Source organism: Homo sapiens, chromosome 7, assembly GCF_000001405.40.
Source record: "Homo sapiens chromosome 7, GRCh38.p14 Primary Assembly".
NCBI lineage: Eukaryota > Metazoa > Chordata > Mammalia > Primates > Hominidae > Homo > Homo sapiens.
Window position 1 is genome coordinate 155721041 of NC_000007.14, and position 22046 is coordinate 155743086.

Consider the following 22046-nt stretch of genomic DNA (forward strand, 5'->3'; position numbering starts at 1 on the left):
CAAGGTTCATTGTAATCTCTCCTTTCCCCAGCTTAAGTACCTTTAAAGGAATTCTCATTGCTCCTAGGATAGGTAACATTCTATCCAAAGCTGTGCTCGTAGTAGTGCATATGTAGCTTCCTCACATCAGTCATAGTTGTGTGTTTACTCCTATTTGTGTGATATCTGGTGAATGTCTGTGGCTAAACACCCGTGCCAGAGTCCCGGTCATCCTGTGCTCGGTGGTGCACTTAGCCACAGGCCCTGTGCAGAGAGGCGGGAGGGAGCACATAGTTGTCAAATAGACATACCCAGAAACTTAATATAGAGTGACCTTACTGCTTATTAGGAGCCCTACATAGAATAAGTAATGTAAAGGGGGGGTGTGCTTTTTAATTTTTATATTTTTTACTTGTTGTATTCAAGAACGTATGTGAATTTGTATAGTAGAATTATATCACATGCATTTAACTATACAAGAATGCAGCTTCATACCCAATTGACTAAAAGAGTTAAAAAAAAGGCAGACAATACGCAAAAGTACCACTAGATTTCCAAATTTTAAAGGCTGTATGATACATTTGCTATTTATGCTTAGTTTAGAACTAGTATGTCCAGAAATTTTGCTGAGTTATAATACCTCTAGTTTTTTTAATTAAAAATTACAGAAATTGAGGCACCCAAATGTGAAATACCATTTTTCATAGTGTGTAAAATTATTTAAAATTATTCTTTAAAATTATTCTTAAAAATCCAAATCTGAGGCCAAAATTTGGTATTCTGGGCTTTGCTTGTAGTTAGACTAATATTTTTATTTCTTGTTAATTAGCATTATTTGGAGAATTTAAGAAATGATTTTTAAAACAAATAACTGAATGTCAAAATAAGTGTCTTAAGAAAAGGATCCTTGTTTTTGATCATTTTGGAGAAAATTGCTTTTGCTCTTGGTTATGTTAGTCTTTGCACTAGGATGCATGTCCTTCCCTAGTCCCTCATTTAAGGAATTCTGTAAAGTGCTTTGTAATTTAGGCTTCCATTTAAAAATTAGATTTATGTACTTAATTTTAGTTACAGATATGCACGTTAGTTCTGAACTCTGAAACTTTTTTTCTTCTGATTGTAAAACATATTTCCGTTACATAAGTTATGAATACTTACATGGGCTGATGAGCACAGGAAGTAACATACCCTCAGAGCTTAACATGTCCTGTGTGACTGATGACCCTGTTACATTTGGGCACTTTGCTCTGTCCAGTCTTCTGGTCTGGCCTCTTAACCATCTACTAGTCCATTTAATGAACACATTTTTGTTCATGTCAGGAATGCTGAATGCTATTTCACGAAACACTGTGTTGTGTTTTGTTTTGTCTTTTAAATAAGGAAGTAGTGGTGTGGAAGGCTAGTTACCTTTCTGAAAGTAAGTTTCTACACTTTAAATTCTGTTTTCCATTTCAGATGTTCTCTGTTTTACAATTAAATTAATCTAATTGGTTTCTCTTTCTGCAAAGGCTATACCTGGTGTTTTTGTCACTAATATAAAGCTGTAAGTCCTTATCTTATCCATAAAGTATATTTTCTAGTCATGTATTTGTCCTCAGAGAGTTTTTTGTTTTTAAAGTTTGCCCACTTAAAAAAAGTAACATAAAATGTCAACTGTTGGAATATTTTAACATGTTGTTTTGAGACTTTTGTGAATCTAGTTTTTCTGTGCAATTGCTGTTTTTAAGCTTGTGAAAAAGTGCTGAGCTAAATTTTAAGCTTATGAAAAAATCATTTTAAAGATTCCTGACCTAGAGTATTTTAAAATAAGTTTAAAAATTTTAAAAACTATTCAGTCCTTTGATTTTACATTGGTGTTTCGGGCAAATAGTGATATTTCAGTTAGCCGTTAAATACCAGGTAGTTGGGCTGCTGAATAATTTCTTAGTGCCTTTTGTTTAAATTTAAAATAAACTATACTTTTAAGTTTGAATGCATCTTCTTAACAATCGTGTTCTTACTTACTTAGACCTGGCAAACGAGGTTCGTATTTGTGTTTACTCTGTAGTTACAGAACATCACACATCTTATAGTTTGGGCCACATTTGGGCACATGGTATCAGGTGGCAGTGAATGATGTTTCCTGGATGTGTCTTATAGGCCATTTCATGCAAATCATGTTTGATGAGACTGCTGCATCAAATCACATTTCTTTCTATTACAGCCCTTGCAGATGAGAATCCAGACTTTATTCCATCCAGGAAAGAACGTCTTGCTTTTGAACACCTACTGTTTTTACAACATGCTTGCAATGCCTTATAATTACCAGCACTTAAGCTATGGAAGGAATGATGGGCATTTTCTCTGATCAGATCTATAAGTAGTAGCAGGCGAATATAGTAGGAGACCCTTCCAGCTGTCAAACATTGTCAGGCTTGCAAGGAGAGAATGCAGTTTAAAATGCACGTGACATAATACCCAACATCCTCCACTTGCTAGTGGGTTTCTGATTAATCGTGATTACCATACATTATCATACCATCAAATTTAATCATATCAATGAATTCCCATCTGCGGCAGTAACGAGCAGCTAAACACTATGGTAACAGCTATTAAAGAAGGTGGTTTATCAAATTCAGTAACCCTTTAACTTGCTGCTTGGTCAGCATGCGTTGCATGTGTTGGATAGAGATAGGGCTGGGTTCAAGTCCATGCTAATTAGTCAAAGGCCAGGGGTACTCCTTGAAATCACATAAAATTGGTTTCTTGTTTCTTCTGTTGGAGCTGTTGAGCTACTTTGTAAAAACTGCTTTATAAAGTATGTGATAAACTATAGTTGTCCCTTGTACAACATGTGTATATGCGGGGGCCTGGAAGCAATCTCCTATGCATACCAAGGGAGGGCTGTTTTTCGTTTATTGGCTAAGTAAATCTGTTACATTGACTGGGACACCTTTTAAATTCTCTTCGGATATAGAGTGCTATATATAGAGACTTAAACCTCAGTGTAGTTTGCCCATCTGCAACTGAATAATTTAGCCTGTGAAATGTTGGACACAGTTTAAAGTCTTGGAACTCCTCTGTGCAGGGAAATCTTAGTTACCTGTTTTTAGTGATGTGTCCTACAAAACACACTGCTTTTTTTTTTCTTTTAATATTTAATTTCCCAGGAGTTGTTGAAGACCTGTGGTTCTGTTTAGGTGCATTTTTAAGGCACACTTGGAGAGAAGTCCTGTTTTATTATAAAGTATCAAAAGCAATTCTTCTGGCCAGCGCTCCCAGCACTTTGGGAGGCTGAGGTGGGTGGCTCACTTGAAGTCAGGAGTTCGAGACCAGCCTGGGCAACATGGTGAAACCTCATCTCTACTAAACATACAAAATTAGTTGGGCATGGTGGCGGGTGCCTGTAGACCCAGCTATTTGGGAAGCTGAGGCAGGAGAATCGCTTGAACCCAGGAGGCGGAGGTTGCAGTGAGCTGAGATCGTGCCACTGCTCTCCAGCCTGGGCGATGGAGCGAGACTCCGTGTCAAGTAAGAACGAAACAAAACAAAACCAAAAACAAAAAAGTAATTCTTCCAAAAGATGAGAATTTTTCACTTTAAAAATTGAGTGCTTTGAGCGTACAGGTGTGTGAGTTTCGCCTAGTGCCTACAGTTATATAATCATCCAGGGACTCTCCTGCCCCTTGTGGTTAGCCCCTCTCCCTACCGGCCCCTGGCAACCACTGAATGTGTCTGTTCCTATAATTGTGTTATGTAAATGGAATCATAGAGCTTGTTTCATTTGGAGCCTGGCTGCTTTCCTGTAGTATAACGCGTTTGAGATTCATCCATTTGCTGCACCAGTCAGTAGTTTGTCTTTTCTATTGCTCAGTAGTATTCCAGTATATGGATATAGCAGTTTGTGTATCCATTCACCTGATAGGCAGTTGGGTTATTTCAAGTCTTCGGATGTTGTGATTAGAGTTGCTGTAAACATTTGTGTACAGGTTTGTGTGTGTGTGTGTGTGTGTGTGTGTGTGTGTGTGTGTGTGTGTGTACAGATTTTTTTTGTGAACATAAGTTGTCAGTAAATGCCTAGGAGTGGATTGTGGATGATAGTGCATTCACAGATGAGATTTAAGACAGACTGTATGCTTTTCAGTTGACGTAGCTGCTGATACTACTGCTTTCCTTTTTTAGTTGGTTCTTTCCTTTTTTAGTTGTTTTTTTTTTTTTTTTTTTTTGAATGAGGAAGTACGGTATTCATAGAGCATATATGGTTGAAAATCAGTAATGAATAAAAAAAAATTGAGTGATCACTATATTCCACAGTGTGTTCAGCCTGTGGAGCAAAAGTAAAAAATTATTATTTTTTGTTTTAGAGATTGGCAAGCTGACTTTTGGAAAGATCAAATTGCTTAAGTTCACACAACTGGGCGCAGGAGGGAGGACTGGAGGCCAGTTCTCTTAGTTTTTATGCTGTGCTTTCTCCTTAAATATGAAATTGAACTTCCATAAACTGAGAAAAAAACATAGAATCTGGTAAGTTGAATTGTAACTACATAAAATTGTGACCCTCATTAAGTACTAAAGTGAGGAAGTTTGCTATAGCAGGGCCAGTCATTAGGAGGAGTTGTTTCAGGAGGGGCCATGGCAGGGGTGAGGGTGCAGAAATAAAGAGTTTTTCATTTCAGGAAATAATGTAAGTAGTCTTTAGGAGGTTCATCAAAACACCATTTTGTACCAAAGAAAAGTTTTGTAGTTTGTAGTGGGTGCTCTTGTTTCACTGCTTGAACCATTAACATTATCCTAATGTATTTAAATTCATGTGGTGTTTTTTTACCCCTGCATGAAACCTAGTACTTGGCACTAGGTGTATCCTTCTTCAAAATGTTTAGAATGCATCTATAAATATCAAAGTACCCTCTAGGAAGGTGAATATAGGTATTTAAACAAGGCATAACCTGAAAGAAAAAGAAATCTATGGAGAATACTGAAATAAGAGGATTAACATATTGTGATAGAGGGCTGTAATTTTAATTACGTCAGGGGTCACTAGTGACCTTTATTCTTTGCATTCAACCCATTTAATCAGAATTAACTGAGAGGTGTTCTTAAGTGTCAATTGGTTTCTTATATCGTTCTTTGTATTTCAAGTGGGATTAATAAAGGAAAACATCTTGTAGAGATTGGTTGTAATGTATTGAAAGATTCATGAAGTTTCAATGACATTGTTAAGGTATTTAATTAGTCTTATTAAAATATACGGACTGACCCTTTTAGGGAAGCTGATAAGTCACATAATAGCTGTTAGTGCCTTTTTATTCTTGGCTTTATACGATTAACTTTGTGCTAAGCAATTTATGCAAAGTTTTTCATCGTTTTTTTTTTTGTAACCTGAGTTATCAGTTCTTCTTGAATAGGATTAATATAGATAAAAATCATGTAATTAACAAGAGATGCAGAAAAGTGAAAGTATAATTTGTATGAGAATTATATGAGAGAATAATAATTTCTTACCTTGGATTTTTAAAAGAATATAAAGAAAAGCAAAACAGAGCACTTATTTGAGAGGATTAAAGTCATCTTTTCTTTCAAAAGGTAGAATTACGTTAGTACTAAAAGTTCTGTTAAGTGAGGTATTCACAACTCATAACAGTTTTAAAATCTATATTTGCTAGAGGGAATTGGTAATGTAGTACCCTTATTCCCATGAAATGATAGAAGTTAATAAAGAAATGATCACATCAGTAGAACTTCTTATGAATGTCAGATTTTGGAACCATGATTTATATGGCATTTCTTGGAGATAGATTTGTCTTGCAGAAGCAATGCACTATGATGGATAAAGCACTTAATAAACCAAGAGTGTGAGAATGTGGGTTCTTGTCATCTTAGTTGTCATTCATTGGTGATGTAACTTTAGTTAATTCACTTTTAACTCTGTAAAACCTGAGTTTCTTTGTCTCATAGAGGAAAAGTGACTTGTGTGCCAGTTTATTGGAGCAGTATTTCTGTCAGCTACAATAGAATATCAGCTGTGACATTTGGCTGAGTCAGGCTGTGAACCAGGCTGCGTTTAACAGAAAACTTAGTTAACAGTGACTGTTGTATTTTTTGCATAAAAATGAAAAAGCTTCTTTTTAGTGTGTATCAGCTCTGATAGGGACTCCTATGTTTTTCCATCTACCCATCACCTAATGCATTTGTCTGTATTCCAGGCCGAAAGGAGGAGGGGCAAGGGCAGAAGGTGCAGGCCAGCTGAGGTATCCCCCAGGGAGCTCCCCCCACCCATCCCCCAGCTGACAACTGCTCCTGTTGGCCAGAGTCTAGCCAAATGTCACCCTCCTTATAAGTTGGAATATGTAGTTTTTAGCTGGGCGGTGTTGTCCTGAATAAAATTAGGGCTCTGTTACTAAGGAATAAGTGAGAATTTGTGCTAGGTAAGCAGTTAGCAGTCTTTCCCATGTGGCTGACATGTTTGTCAGAATTTAAGTTGTGTAATTAGAGGGAAAGAGAAAAGTGCCACTTGTGTGCAAAACAAAACAGGAAAAGTGACACTGTGCGCTTCATGAGACCTGCTATTTGTCAAACCTCTGTTTCAAAAAAGCAATATTGTTAACAGTCAGTGAGCAGCTTTTGGGATCTTAAAGCTTAAACGTTAAAAAAATTATTTAAATATTTAAACTCTCAAGTTCTATTAGAGCAGTGGCAAGCCACATATCTGCCCAGGTGAGCTCTCCCTTCTGTCCAATAGCATCTGACATTGCCAAAAAGGTAACCGCCCATCCCCGCTTTTTTTCTGAGACAGGGTTCACTTTGTAGCCCAGGCTGGAGTGCAGTGGTGTGATCGCAGCTCGCTGCAGGCCCGGCTTCCCGGGCTCAGGTGATCCTCTCACCGCAGCCTCAAGTAGCTGGGACTACAGGTGTGTCCCACCATGCCTGGCTAATTTTTTTTTGTACTTTTTTTGTAGAGATAGGGTTTCATCGTGTTGCCTAGGCTGGTCTCGAACTCCTGGGCTCAAGCAGTCAGCCCACCTTGGGGTCCCAAAGTGCTAAGATTAGAGGTGTGAGGCACTGTCCCCAGCTGAGGCAACCCTTTTCACTCTGGTATATTTCACGGATCAGTCATTGAATGTTTTTTCTGAGTGGTGTCTTGCATTATCTGCCCTCTTTTCTTATCCTGCTACCACTTGGCTGATATGCGGGCATTTGTCATTTTGGAAAATGCGCCGTCATGACTTCTTCCTGATTGGACTGGATTTATCTACCATTCAGTTGCTCTCTTTCCCTGGGCCAGCCTCTCCACCTGTAAAGGTCAGTGGGTACTTCAGGTTCTTTGGGTCCTGTACACTCGATGACATAATGTTACCTCCCTCCTCACTGCCCTTCACCCAGCTGCTTGAGGAGACAGCACCTTGCCTGTAGCGTGTACATACTCCAGGCTACACTTGCAAATCCTTCTTTCTCCGTTCTTACTCTATTTAACTAAATTCCAAGGTCAGAAATTGCCTTGTTTACTCACCCTGAGTAAACGGTTTCTTTCTAAATCTTAGATAGCTCTTTGGTCTTACCTCTTTAATGCAGCTCTTGTAGATTGATCAGGTGAGTACTGATAATTTCTTTTACTTATTAAAGCCTGCCATGAAATTTCCATGACTGTCTGACTTTTGACTTGATGTAGTACTTACTGGTTTTCTTGACTCTGAAACACACGTAGACTTGCACAATTACACTTACATATGTGATGATAAAACATATGATTAGGGACTGATTAGGGAATGTGAGAAAAATCCCTCCCCATTTGCTGTTCATACCAAGGAATTCACAGTGTGCTCTGCAGGTAGGCAGCCTGGGTTTGAATTCAAGTTCTGCCACTTTCTAACCGTATACTAAGTGAAGGTTATTTAAATGGTCAGAAGATTTCTGTGAGCATAATACCTACCTTGTAGGGTTGTGATAAGGATTAAATGAGACAGCATGTGTATTAGTCTGTTTTCATACTGCTATAAAGAATACCCAAGACTGGGTAATTTATAAAGAAAAAAGGTTTAATTGACTCACAGTTCCGCATGGCTGGAGAGGCCTCAGGAAACTTACAATCATGACAGGAGGCAAAGGGGGAGCAAGCACCTTCTTCACGTGGTGGCAGGAGAGAGAGCAAAGTGGGGCAAGTGCCACTTTTAAACCATCAGATCTTGTGAAAACTCACATACCATTATGAGAACAGCGTGGGGGAAACTGCCCCCATGATCCAGTCACCACCCACCAGGTCCCTCCCTCCACTCGTGGGGATTACAGTTCGAGATGAGATTTGGGTGGGGATGCAGAGCCAAACCCTATCAGCATGGAAGTTCTGGCCTCCCACCAGTGATCCTCACTCTTCTCCCAGCTGCAGGGTGAAGAAGCCAGTCAGCATGGTCCTTCTCTAATGATATTATATAGTTAGAATACAAGTTAAAATAATTTCTCTTGGCCAGATGCAGTGACTCACACCTGTAAACCCAGTGATTTGGGAGGCCAAGGTGGGAGGATCCCTTGAGGCCAGGAGTTTCAGACTAGCCTGGGTAACATAGTGAGACCCCATCTCTACAAAAAATTTAAAAATTAGCCAGATATGGTGGCTCATGCCTGTAGTCCCGGGTTCTCTGGAGGCTGAGGCAAGAGGATCACTTGAGCCCAGGAGTTTGAGGATGCAGTGAGCTGTGATCGCACCGCTATACTCCAGTCTGTGTGACAAAGCAAGACCCTGTCTCTTTAACAAAAAAAAAAAAAAAAAAATTCTGTCATACATGTAAGAACTCAGTTCTGTTAATTTTTCTGTCTCTAAACCAGTGATCACCCCAGATCTTGGCTTCTGTTTGGTCCTTGTGCACTGTATGTGTTTCACATCTGCTCAGCTTAAGAGCCTCAGGCAGTTCACTGCCCGAGGTCTAGGTTAGTACATCCTAACCTTTGTTACTTCCTTCCTTCATTCAGCCATTCAGCACCTCTCCCTGTGCTTTGTGGGCAGCTGGTTTTACAGCATGCCGCAGTACTTCCAGGTTGAGAATGTGAGGCTCGGGGAATACCTTGCTATTACAAACAGGCATTTCATTCATCCATTAAATATTTATGACCGCCTGTGTGCCAGGCACTGGGCCAAGTATGGAAACACATTGATGTGTAAGACAGGCCTGGTCTCAGCTCTCACGGACCCGGCAGTTGAAGGGCAGAGAGAAGTGGAAGTGGATTGGAGACATTCAAGAGACAGAGTTTCTAGGACTTGCTGGTACTTTATGAGGGATTTCTGATTTGAACTCAGAAATAAGAATGCAAGCAGGGAATCTATACTGATTTGGTTTTTACCATATATGGAAACATGGAAATATGACAGAAGATATGGAAATATGTCAGAAGCTATATATCGTATTTACAGTCTGGGCTGCTGTCTACAAAAAGGTGTAAAAATGATAACGACATGTATGGTGAACTTTTGTTATTTGCTAGGTACTGTCCTAAGGACTTTCCTGCCCCTGTGAGGTAGGTACTAATTGCTGTTTTGTAGATGAGCAAACTGAGGCCCAGACAGATTCAGTCATGAGCTCAAGGCTGTAGCTGGTAAGTGGCTGGGATGGAGACAGGGCTGGGAGAGCTGTCAGGTTAGATGATGGGTGCTGCTTCTCAGCCTGAGCACCTACAGGATCACTGTAAGTTAGAATAAAGTTCTGCTTAAACATTAGTGATGGATTTTAAAGGCTTTTATTTTCCACTGAGTGTGGAAAAACTATCATGAGAGAATTTTCGGGGCTTTGTTACGTACCAGTAACATTCAGATGCCAGTGACTGTGCATTTAGACAGCATGTAAATAGTCAGTTAAAGGAAAGAAAGTTTTGGGAAGAGATGAAAATCACAATATTAAAGTTCCAGGGAAATCTTCCAGGGAATCTGATAGTGCTTAGAGACCTAAGAGGTGATGTACCTAGTTCTCAGGTAGCTTGGAATTTTATGGAAAACTAAGTTTGTGGACTAAAGTCTTTGAGTTTCTTCTAATTCAGTAACTCTTTCCTTTTAGAAAAGGATGAAAGAGCTAAAGACAGAGTCCTTTTCCCTGATCACAACCTGTGGCAAAGTAAAAAATCGAACCTTGGTTGACTCTCCGCTCAGAGTGGAGTGGAGGCCAGTCTACTTTCCCAGTTACATTTTGCCTTATCTATAATGAGAAAAATCTTTTTGAGGACTTGAAATTAGCTGCCTGATGGAAGGTAGGAAAGAAGGTTTATAAAGAGTCCTGCTGCAGCAGCCGCATGGCCAGTGCTGTGGTGCCCACCTTATCCGAGGGGCGTGTACTGGAAGACCCCCAGTAGAGACCATGGTTTTTCCTGTACATATATACCTAGGATAAAGTTTAATTTACAAATTAGGCACAATAAGAGATGAACAGCAATAGCTAATCATACAATAAAACAGTTATTACTCTTGCATTTTGGGGCCATTATTAAGTAAAATATGAGTTACTTGAATGCAAGCTCTGCAGTACTGTGACAGTCAATCTAATAACCAAGACGTTGACCAAGTGACTAATGGGCTAGCAGGCAGGGAGTGTCTTCAGCATGGATCCTCTGGACAAAGGTATGATTTCATTCCCCGGGCTGGACGGAGCAGGATGCCAAGAGATTTCATCATGCTACTCAGAAAGGTGTATGGTGTAAAACTTATGAATTGTTTATTTCTGGAATTTTCCATTTAATATTTTCAGATTTCAATTGATGGTGGGTAACTCAACCCCAGAAAGTGAAACTGTGGATAAGTGAGGACCTCTGTACTATTGAGGATGAGATTCATGGCAGTAAGATACAATCATGGAACTTAGAAGAACTACAGAATTTTCTAAGAAATGGAGTTTTTCAGTTCTAAGCCCAGTAAGAAAAGGAGTAATAAATATTAGGGCTTCACCTATTAAATAATGAAGATGGAAAGATCAGGACCTCTTTTAGCTTGTTCTAATTATAGGCAAAATTTAAAGAGAACTGGCACTTCCCTGGCATGAGAACTGAGTGACAAAAGGCCAGCTACAGAAGCAGCCCTTCTTTCTGCACCTGGGGAGGAGCCTGCCTACTGCTGGTTGGTCCTGTGGGAACAGTGTACCCTGCAACTGCACACTTGAAACTGGCACACTGGAAAGGGGTGAAGGGGAAACTGAGCCGGGATAGGAGAGAGTGGCAGTGTGTAATTACCTGTCATTCTGAATAACTGATACATTAAGCTTTGCTTTACTCTTTGTTAAAATTGGCAAAATAATTGTAAATTGATAAAAAAATTTTCACACCCAGTGATGCTGATTTCCGGCTGTTAATACAATAAAAAAGTTTAAGGGTTAAGTGGAAATAGCCTCAGAGGACTCTCCCCCTTTCTCTAAAAGTACATTTTACTCTTCCTTTTCTCTCTGGCACCTCCCAATATCTGCTTTTTTAAGCCAGCTCATTAGCATAGTAGTGACTGATAGAGCTGATGAGTTGCGAGCCCTGAAGTGTGCTGACTATGGTTGGGGCTGACGGCTTGTCAGCCCATCCGTAGCCGACTTTCACCTTCTGTCCTACTTCAGCATACTGTTCCTATATTTAAATGAAAAATCTGACCAAATGTATAATAGTGAGAATTTATATATATTTTTAACAAATAGACTGTTGGTAAAAATTAGCAGCAAGTCCATTACTCGTGGTAGAAAGTGATGTTTAGATGCAGGTGGAAGCAGAGAAGAGGGGGAAGGAAGTGCGGCAAGGATGCCGAGGGCCTTGCAGGCAGAGGGGACAGCTGTGTGGTGGAATCACTAGAAGGTGCTCAGAGGTGTGAAGTTATCCTGGGCAGTGAGAGAAGGAGCTGCCCAGGGACAGGTGAAAAACTGCTGATTGACACTGATGAGCCAGTTAAAATAAAACAAAAGCTTTTAGTGATTCCAGTTCATGGGATTCTTCGTGTTCCAGCCTTCAGGAGCCTGGCCACAGGGGTAGAGGAGTCAGAGGCTTGGGTATGTCTGGGCCCTGTGTCAGGCGTCTCCTGATACAGGGAGGTGGCCAGAGAGTGAAGCAGGGTCAGGAGGAGGTAAAGGTTCTGTACCAAGGGTTACAAGAGAAGCCGTTTTCTGTAGTGATTTTGCATTTTGGCTGAGACAGAAATGTAAGAGTGAAAATTTTTCAAGGAAATACCGGAGATGGAAAGGGAAAGTGTGTATGTAATGTGACAAGTGTCCAGGTTCCACATTCTGACTTGGGGGTACACTACCATTTTTATGTCTAAGTCAGGGAAAAGTTGTAACCCAAATTTAGTAATTTTGATAAGATTTCTTATTATATGGGTTGAAACTCCCCCCACTGCGTTTTTATTATGTCGTGAATAAAATGAACCCTTGCAGAAGCTTTAACTTGGTTTTCTTGAATATTGAAATCCCTGATGTGGTTGAGTGAACTTACAGAAAAATAAAAATACTAAAATAGGGTTGTGACCTTGGACCAGTGATTTAATGTCATAAGTTTTAGCTTCCTCACTGTGTGTTGATGAGTTCATGGGGCCCTGGTATCGACAGTGGTGACAGTGTCATACCCAGGAATTCCTGGACTCTGCCAGTGGACCAGGGGCCTGAGTTCCCTTTGGTCCTCATTTTAAGGTGGCTGCTTAGAAAGCATTGGTTCTTGACTGGCCCTTAAGTTCTGCAAGAATCCCTGCAGTTGTCAGTCACTGTACGGTAGGGAGTGTGAAGGAGCGCTTGCTCAGCTATAAAAGTCTGTGAGTCCTGGCAAGTAGAAAGAATGGCCGTTCACATTGCTAGTACCTTCCTGTTTTGTCACCTAGACCGTGAGCCTTGATTTAGAACCCACTTCCCCAACTCTAACCCATGCTGAGACTTTGTTCTTAAGTCTTCTAATCTGGTTCCCACTAGGCATCAAGACCTACCAGAAAAGTGAGAAAATGAACATTTAATTCTGTCAGTCTCTTTGTGAGCACCTCCCAGGTTCCAGACTTGGCAGACAGGCCCACACCTCATGCCAGCTGTTCCTCGGGGCTCCTTCTCCGTGACCCAGTCCTGCTGTCACCTCACGCCCAGTGCGTGCCTGGCTGCACTAGTGCCAGCCAGATTTACCAGTTTGTCTTTCAACTGGTCTGTAATTTCAAGAACATCGACAGACCCACTCTTTGTGAGTTGGCTTGGACCTTGAGGATGCGCTAGTCCAGTTCACTTTTGAGATCATCCCCGGCAGGCGGTGCTCCTCCTCCTGAGTGCGTGCTTCTGTGGGTTGAGGATGTGTTCATTGCTGGGAGAGTGTTAGAAACCTCCTCCCTCTGTTGAATTGAAATCAGCCCCATCCAAACTCTTACCTAGGTGGTTGGGCAAACCATCATCAAACCTGCTTGTGGTTGATCTTGACTCAGTTACATGAAGAGAGCTATCATAACCACACTTAACGTTGGAAATGGTTTTTCATAGTTTCCAGAGGTGTTATTAATTTTGTATTTGTAAGCTAAAATGTCATACCCATTTTTCATTTGAAGAGTTTGCATTTGAGTGATTTTTACTTTTCACAACTATTATCTTGTTTCAGGCTGTGATATTGTCTCTTTTTGGTGTCTCAGTGACATCATTTTGATCCCTATGTTTTTCATTTCTCAATGCAAATTCTTCTAATGAATCTTACTGGTTCCTTTTGTATGTATCTGTTTGAAACCCCTCCCGTGTGCCTCCTCCCCCGAAATAAGTGTAGTCAAGTGTGCATTGAAACAGCTTAAGGAAACAGGCTGATTAATTGGAAAAGGATTTTTATTCAGAACCACCATTGCCAATTTGCGTGGGTTGGAAACAGTGTGATCAGTCAAACCTCTCTGCAAGCAGAGGCAGGCAGTTGTTTCTTTTATTCCGTGTCATTCTGAGAAGCATCATTTAAACATTTTTTTGAAATAATGCAGAACCTTGATTGCTAATTTATTGTCATTCAGAAAGTTTTGAAGATTATTTTAAAACGTTTTGAAATGCTTGCACAGCTACTCTGCAACTTACGATGGGGTTACATTAGGATGAGGCCGCTGTAAGTTGCAAACATCGTAAGTTGGACCATTGTAAGTCAGGAACTGTCTGTATATGTCAGAATCATATTGATATACAAAACTAAAGATGGAATGCTAATGCTATACTTTATAAATAGAACATTTAAGTTACCTGGAGGAATACAATATTATTTTGGAGGAGATATATTCATGTTCACACCATGTGTTTCATTGACTTCAAACAAGAGATGAAAATATTTTTAAAACAAGAGGAAAAAACTTTGGCAGTGGGAGAAAGCAGGCAAGCTCATTGAAACTCCTCATGCAGATGTAGTAAGTAACAGTATGTAACGGCGTGTGCTATTAGAAGTAATTTTTCTAGCATATTATTAGCAAAGTAAAGATATTAAATATTCAAGAATATTGGCCAGGTGTTGTGGCTCATGTCTGTAATCCAAGTACTTTAGGAGGCTGAGGTGGAAGAATCATTTGAGCCCAGGCGTTCAAGACCAACTTGGGCAACATAGCAAGACCCTGCCTCTACAAAAAAACTAGCTGGATGTGGTGTCATGCTCTGTAAGTCCTAGCTACTCAGGAGGCTGAGGTGGAAGGATCCCTTGAGCCAAGGAGTTTGAGGCTACAATGAGCTGATTGCGCCACTGCACTCCAGCCTGGGTAACAGAGCAAGACCCTGTCTCTCTCTCTCTCTCTCTCTCTCTCTGTCTCTCTCTCTCTCTCTCTCTCCCTCTCTCAGGAAAAGAGATCCATATCAAAGCATTATATCAGTGAATTTTCAAATTAATTAGGGGTAAAAGACCATGTATATGATATGTATTCTCACTTACAAATATATTCCTCAGTTACTGACATTTATTGGGTTCATTGTGTCTTAATTGATGTCTTTATCTAGAGAAGTGACACTCCCTAATGTCAGGCAATAGTATGCTGTGGATTTCCTTGTTTCACCTAAAGTCAAAAGCTACGAGATTTTCAGCTTTGGACTTTCTGTTGTACATGTTTCAATAAGTGCCTAAAGTTTATGTTTTTATAAAGATACAATATTTGTGTGTTAAACATTTCTTTATTATTTTGTAGCCAACAATCTTAAGGGTTTGTGGTGTTTATACTAGTGTTCATTTTGTCTATTCTGTCAATGCCATGGGTAGAACAGACTTTTGTAGGGAGAAGGAAGGGAAATGCACTGCGGAAGAGCATTTTCAGTGTTAGAAAATGTTGTTGTGTTTAGAGGGAACAGTGAGTTAGTGATAAAATGATAGGCCAAGGCATTGGGGTTGCAAGTGTGTGAGAAAGAAGAATGATACTTAAAAGTTGTGAAATATTGACTCAGTTTCAAAGAACAAGGTGCTATTAAATGAAAATTATTTTGATGATAGTTAATAGTTAATTACTTCTTTTTGGAGCAGTGAAAAAGTGGTGAACATTTCTTTACCTTTATGCTGCTGCCTAGGTCAATACGGTGGTTTAAAAAAATCTCCATGAATACCTGAAAGACCAACTGAAAAAGGAAGTAATTTTAATTTGTCTCTAAAGAGTTCTAGTAACATGTAGTTTTTGAAAAATGTTAATCTGTAAGAATTTGCTTAAAATTTTTTTATCCAGAGGACTCTGTGTACTATTTTTTCTGTAGTAATTTGGTTTCTTAAAACATTTCACATTTTTCTGTTAAGTCAGGAATTGCTGATTGAATTTCTTTTTCTTTTAAAGTGAAGCAGCTTCATAGCTGCAGCTTACAGTCCTGTTAAATAGCAAAGATGAGCATCTTTAAAAAGATAAATGTCATGACATTTAGTGTTTTGGATTAATGGGAAATAGGCCAATAATTGCATGGATTTCAATAAGCTTAAAAATAATATTCTTGCGTTATAATGACATTAAAACATTGACTTAATTTCTAGTTGCTGCGTTTTGATTTTTGATCATTTAATATTGCAGAATCACCTGTTGTGTAACAGTTTTTATGTTAATATGTGTGGTCATGTCTTGTGTAAGGATATTTTGGTTAATGGTGGACTGCATAGACAGCAGTGTTTCCATGAGATTATAATAGTGTATTTTATTGTAACCTTTTCTAGGGTTGGATATGTTTACATCCACAGATACTTAGCATTGTGTGACAGTTGCCTACAGTATTCAGTACAGTAACATGCTGCGCTGGTATGTAGCCTTGGAGCTACTAGTGTGTACTATACAGGCTAGGTGTGTAGAAAGCGCTACCATCTAGGTGCGCGTGTGTGTGTGTGTGTGTGTGATTACAATACACTCTGTGGTGTTCGCATGATGGAATCACCTAAGGATGCGTGTCAGAATGTATCCTGTCATTAAGGATGCATGACTCTGTGTGTGTGTGTGTGTGTGTGTGTGTGTGTGTAGAAAGAGAAAGACAGTGACTGTTAGGAGACACGTTACTTGACATTTTTGAGGAAAACTTGGAACCAGGTCTATATTTCTAAAAATTACATACCATTTTTCTGTCCTTCACCCTGTTTCTCTGTTGTTGTTGTTGTTCTTTAGGGCCCTCCAGAATTTCCACAGCATACACCTGGACCTGTTCCCAACAGTTTCAGCCAGCCCCCACGACTCCCTCTCCAGGACCAGTGGAGAGCCCCACCCCCGCCTCAGGATCGAGACCCTTTCTTCTTAGGAGGTACAGAAAGAGTGAGTGGTGTGGAGTAACAACAGAAGCTGCATTGGGTGATGTGCCCAAACACATTTATTTTGTAAACTGAATTGAACTCCCAGTTGGAGATGTTAGGAATGCCAGGTTTTTGTACCATAGCAGTTCTGCCTGTCATTTCAGGTGCTAAAATTGGACATTGTTGGTATCTGAAATCGGAACATCTCATATAAAAGGGAATTTATGTATAGAAAATGACAAATGAAGCAATCTAGAAATAAGAGGCAAAATCTGGAATTGTTTCCAACATTCATAACCTGTCAACACTTGTGACTTCTGTCCACAGTAGGATAGTGCTTCAGACTGCTTTTCTGAGAAGCACATGGTCTTTTTAACCTGAAGTTAATGATGTTGTGTTACCTTTCAGTTTCAGGTGAACCAAGATTCCCGAGCCATCTTTTTCTGGAACAGCGAAGTCCCCCTCCACCACCACCGCCTCCTACCCTTCTTAACAGTAGCCATCCTGTTCCTACTCAGAGTCCTCTACCATTCACTCAGCCAGGACCAGCATTTAATCAGCAAGGACAGCAGCCAGTGTTCCCAAGAGAGCGGCCCGTACGACCAGCCTTGCAGCCTCCAGGTCCGGTGGGGATTCTGCACTTTAGCCAGCCTGGGTCGGCAACCACACGGCCCTTCATTCCTCCTAGACAGCCGTTCCTGCCAGGCCCAGGACAGCCGTTTCTGCCCACACACACACAGCCCAACCTGCAGGTAATGCATCCTGAGTGAACCTCCAGGGAAAAAATGTGTAGCTTCAAGGCTTTGTGTTCCATAAAGTTTCAGATTTTTATTTGAGCCTACTAATTTGTGGTTATTTAAAGAATAGAGTATTAGTCTCAAATGTACTGTTTGTTAAAGACAACTTTTTTCAACAATGTTACTTATCTCAATACAAGAAAAAAATGGGAAAATGTCATTTTTTGGGAATTGAAAAATGCTACTTATTATAATTGTTTAAAGGGTATACTACTAATAAAATTAGGACATGTTTTGATAATACATTTGCTCATCTGTATAAAATTTCATGAGAGGTTTACCAGTGGAAATACTTTGTCAAATTATATTCCTGCAGTAGACAGTTTTGAAAAGAGTCTTTGCATGGAGGGAAGAAGATGTTGCTGTTCACTGGTTATTTGAAGGCCTTGAGTGCCCTCTGCCGACCGGCTTCTGCTTCATGGGTTTTCACTGGTTATTTGAAGGCCTTGAGTGCCCTCTGCCCATCGGCTTCTGCTTCATGGGTTGACATGCGTCTGTAACATCTTTCTTACCAAGTGTATATTTCTTCTTGTATTGTAGGGTTACTATTAAAATACATAGCGATGGTAAACTTGAATCAACTATTTAAAAATACGTGGAATACGTATCTAAGCCAAAAACGGAAAATGAATATTATCTAGGGTGTTAAAGGAAGATAAAATGTTTTTAAGAATTTTTCTTTTTATTAAAAAAATGCAATTAATACATCCCCATTGCAGAAATTTTCAAGTATATATAAGAAAGGAAATTAAATACTCTCGTTACCTAGAAACAATTCAGGAGCTTTTTTTTTTGTCTTTTTTTAAATGCACATCTTCTCGCCACCTGCTTTTTCCCTCCAGTGTCACATATCATTTGATCTTTTCATGTCAGCGAGTTGGTTTTGATGCCATCGTTTGAGAGTGCTGTATGCGGTTCCCTTTCATGCTGTCTGTGTGGTTGCATGTGTGTATACTGGTTTCAGTACTTTAGTATCATAGTGCTACAGGGAACATGCTTTAGAGTTATGAGTTTGTCTGCATACCTAGTTTTCCTTAGGACAATTCAATCCTAGAATTACTGGATTAAATATAAAATTTAAGGTAATAGCTTCTGGCTTATTACTGCATTTTAGATAGTATTACCTTCATCAGCAAGTCTAAAATGAAGTTTTGGTATCGCTGAAAGTTCCTTTCTTGTGTTGAGGTTTTTTAGGAAATGATTGAAGTGATTATGCCCGGTGTAACCATTTATGAACTGTTGTTTCTCTTTCTTTGGAAATGGAAGGGGCCGTTGCATCCTCCATTGCCCCCTCCGCATCAGCCTCAGCCTCAGCAACCTCAGCAACAGCCCCCGCCACAGCACCAGCCTCCGCACCAGCCCCCGCACCAGCCCCCGCCCCAGCACCAGCCCCCACCCCAGCACCCACCACAGCACCCGCCGCAGCACCAGCACCACCACCACCACCACCACCTGTCCGTCCCGCCCCCTCCTTTGATGCCGATGTCTCAGCCACAGTTCCGGCCTCACGTACAGACCGCTCAGCCTCAGGCCAGCAGCAGCCGGATGCAGTGCCCCCAGCGCCAGGGGCTCCGGCATGTAAGTGTCAAGGGGTGTCTTCCCTGTGTCTTCCTGGGAGGCCTTTTAACTTACAGGACTTGAGGGGCATAATATGTAGGTTAGAATATTTTCCAGTTCTGATTTCTGTTTATAAAATGTGTAGTACATAGTTCTGAAGTGAATCCATGTTTTAAAAAACACTCAGGTGATTTGTTTTCTTGACTACAAGAATTGATAAGATACTCCTTTTGTGTCTCAAAGACTGTGTTAATATTTACTTAAGCATCTTTCTTGTATCTAGATATTTCTATAGCAATAGACAGGAATTAATAGACACGTAACTTTAGAAAATACTTTTGGGTGGTAGTCACTTTCCCTTTACCAGTGGCTTATTTTTTGATGTATAGATTATCTCTGTCTTTTTGGTCCCTGAATAAATACATAAATGAATTCAGGAAAAATACGTTGACTGTTCTGTTGCCAGGTGCTACTCTAGTCCTGGAAATACAGCAGTGAACAGAAGAGACAAATTCTTTTCCTTCAAGGAGCTTATACTCAGTCGAGGGAGATTAGCATACATTTATTTGTGGGGTTGTGTTCTCAAGCACCATCAGCAAATGTGTGACTTGTCGTGCATTAAAAGAAACTGGGAAACAATGTATTGCTCTGAAAATAAAAGGCCACAGTCATTGCCCTTGTCCTCCATTAAATACATATAAGAAGCTTTTGTAATTTTGTTTTTAGGAAAGGGAGACACAGTGTGGCTAGTGGTCAGGGTTTTTGCCTCCATTAAATATATATAAGAGGCTTTTGTAATTTGGCTTTTAGGAAAGAGAGACACAATGTGGCTAGTGGTCAGTGGTCAGGGCTCTTGCCTCCATTAAATATATATGAGACTTTGTAATTTGGTTTTTAGAAAAAGAGACACAGTGTGGTCAGTGGTCAGGGTTCTCGCCTGTCAGTTTTCTTTTGGTATTGTCTTCTTTTCACCCTTGAGCTTCAGTCATGTCACTTAGCTGCTTGGAATCTCAGTTTTCCTGATATTTGCCTCTTTCTTTCTTAAAGTAAACATTGCAACTAAAGTGCTGTGAACAGTAAGAAAAGATTTCTAAATCTGAGAAGAGGGTGCTTTATAACCTGGGTTTCATTTGTTAGAATAATGGTAGGCTAGTCTCATGACCCTCGTGCACTGGGATATTTGACCTGCGGGACCTCGGAGATCCCCCTGCTTCCCCCCTCCCCCCTTCCAGCTCTCTCGTGTTCTCTTTGCCTCCTCCAGGTGTTGGTTCTCTCTTAAGAATCCCCAGGATGAATATGACTAAGCATTTCCTCTCGAGTAAAACGTTCTGGCACCTTTCTTCTCCCGGGGGTCATGTTTCTTAGGACATTGACCTGATGCTTGATTCTTTCCTTGTTCCAGCTTAAATTTAAGTGACTAGGTAAAATAGTAGCATGTGAATCCCGTTGATCTCTGGTGGCAGATAGAGTGGTTTTTTGGCTGTCTTAATTCTTTTAAAACTGTCAGTCCCTTTACTGAAGCACCTGCTAAAGATCAGCCTGGTGTAATTTCTATGAAGAGGAGCCTCTCTGTAGGCAAGTATGACAACTTTACCAATGGAAATTGTTAACATTAGGATGAGGCATGCTGCCACATGGATCAGGTGACATTTATGTATGAGAAAAAAAGTATGAGAAAAAAGTATCTGCTCCCCAAAAGAAGTCATTTACTAATTAGAATGATTTATTGTGTTTTTATTTAATAATGTGCCTTTTAATGTTCCTTCTGCCAAGTTTCCACTTACAATTAGAATCTCTTTCTTTTTGTGAAAAGAATACAACTTCTCAGAATGTAAGCAAGCGGCCCATGCAGCAAATGCAGCCCACTGCGCCAAGGAACAGCAATTTGCGTGAATTACCCATAGCGCCGTCACACGTGATAGAAATGAGCAGCAGCCGCTGCTCTGCCACGCCCTCAGCACAAGTGAAACCTATCGTCAGCGCGTCACCACCCTCGCGGGCCGTGGCGGGTTCCAGAAGCTCACAGGGAAAGACGGAAGTGAAAGTCAAGCCAGCTAGCCCTGTGGCTCAACCTAAAGAAGAGGCAAAAACAGAAACAGAGGTAGGACACTGCTCTTATTAACAAATGTTGGTCTCAAACAAGAAGCCTTAGAATCAACTTGGATGTCTTAGTTCACTCTCACTAAGTTATTCACAAAATCTTCCCACTTTTTTCACCTGGGTCTTTTTTTTTTTTTAACCTAACAGCCATGTTTATTAAAAAAACACTTGTATTCTCACTAGTTTACAAGATTAGAGTTTATATATTTGTACAGTTACTGTTCTGTTATACAGAATTGATATATACCGGGGCTTAACAAACTTTTTCTGTAAAGGGCCCAAATATTTTATAAATATTTTAGACTTTATAGTCCAGACTGTCATAATTACCCTTCTCCGCCATTTTAGCACAAAGGCAATTTAAATATAGTTCTTCCATGAATAGATGTGACTGCGTTCCGGTAAAACTTTACTTTATAAAACCAGGTGGTGGACCGGACTCAGCCTGTGGGGTGTCATGTGCTGACACCTGGTGAATCCCGTAGGTTTCTGTGACTTTTCTTGATTTACACTATTAACCTCTAGAAGATAGGACCAATTTTCTTGTTGGTCTTTTAAGATTTCTGGGGGTTTGCTTTGTGTTGAAGTATGATGATATATGTTGTTGCTGTTGTTCCTAATTTTTCAGTAGGCACAGAATGTAGTGAGTGTGAACAATCAATGCAGCTCAGTCTTTACCTGGCTTTAGTTGAGGCCGTCTTCTCCCACAAGCCTCAGTCTCCTCATCTGGTAAAGGAGGGTCGGCCAGGGCGGCCTGTGCAGAAGGCTGGCACCTGGAGGGCGTGTCAGCCTTAGTGAAATGCATGTGGAGTGCTCTGAAGCAGTGCAGCGAGTTAACTTGTCCAATAGCAATGTCATGAAGAATGGCTTTAGAGAAGAATTTAGGCAAGTCATGCTTTCTTAGTTTCATAAAAACCAGTCAACACTGGTTTTACCTTTTAATCAGTTCATTTTTTTCAGTTAGATTTTCTTCTGATATAT

The 22046-nt window shown here is 40.2% G+C and overlaps 1 protein-coding gene across 1 annotated transcript in view, besides 3 other annotated features; it reads left to right on the forward strand.

The window, feature by feature from the left end:
- RBM33 (RNA binding motif protein 33) overlaps positions 1–22046 on the forward strand; it is a 136820-nt gene that overhangs the window by 76380 nt on the left and 38394 nt on the right. The window contains exons 10-13 of the mRNA NM_053043.3: positions 16490–16622; positions 17020–17363; positions 18675–18986; positions 20779–21066. Of these exons, the coding sequence (NP_444271.2) occupies positions 16490–16622; positions 17020–17363; positions 18675–18986; positions 20779–21066 (1077 nt within the window). The remainder of the gene's footprint in view (positions 1–16489; positions 16623–17019; positions 17364–18674; positions 18987–20778; positions 21067–22046) is intronic.
- Positions 6985–7485: an enhancer, noted in NCBI's record as "H3K27ac hESC enhancer chr7:155520719-155521219 (GRCh37/hg19 assembly coordinates)". NCBI's record gives its function as "activates a minimal SCP1, AML or CMV promoter by ChIP-STARR-seq in naive H9 embryonic stem cells {active_cell/tissue: H9 hESC(naive)}" and the evidence as "EXISTENCE:reporter gene assay evidence [ECO:0000049][PMID:30033119]".
- Positions 20404–21603: an enhancer, noted in NCBI's record as "MED14-independent group 3 enhancer chr7:155534138-155535337 (GRCh37/hg19 assembly coordinates)". NCBI's record gives its function as "activates an origin of replication core promoter dependent on BRD2, BRD4, P300/CBP and CDK7 cofactors, and independent of MED14, by STARR-seq in HCT116 cells {active_cell/tissue: HCT116}" and the evidence as "EXISTENCE:reporter gene assay evidence [ECO:0000049][PMID:35650434]".
- Positions 20963–21112: an enhancer, noted in NCBI's record as "active region_26900". NCBI's record gives its function as "activates an Ori minimal core promoter by ATAC-STARR-seq in GM12878 lymphoblastoid cells {active_cell/tissue: GM12878}" and the evidence as "EXISTENCE:reporter gene assay evidence [ECO:0000049][PMID:35858748]".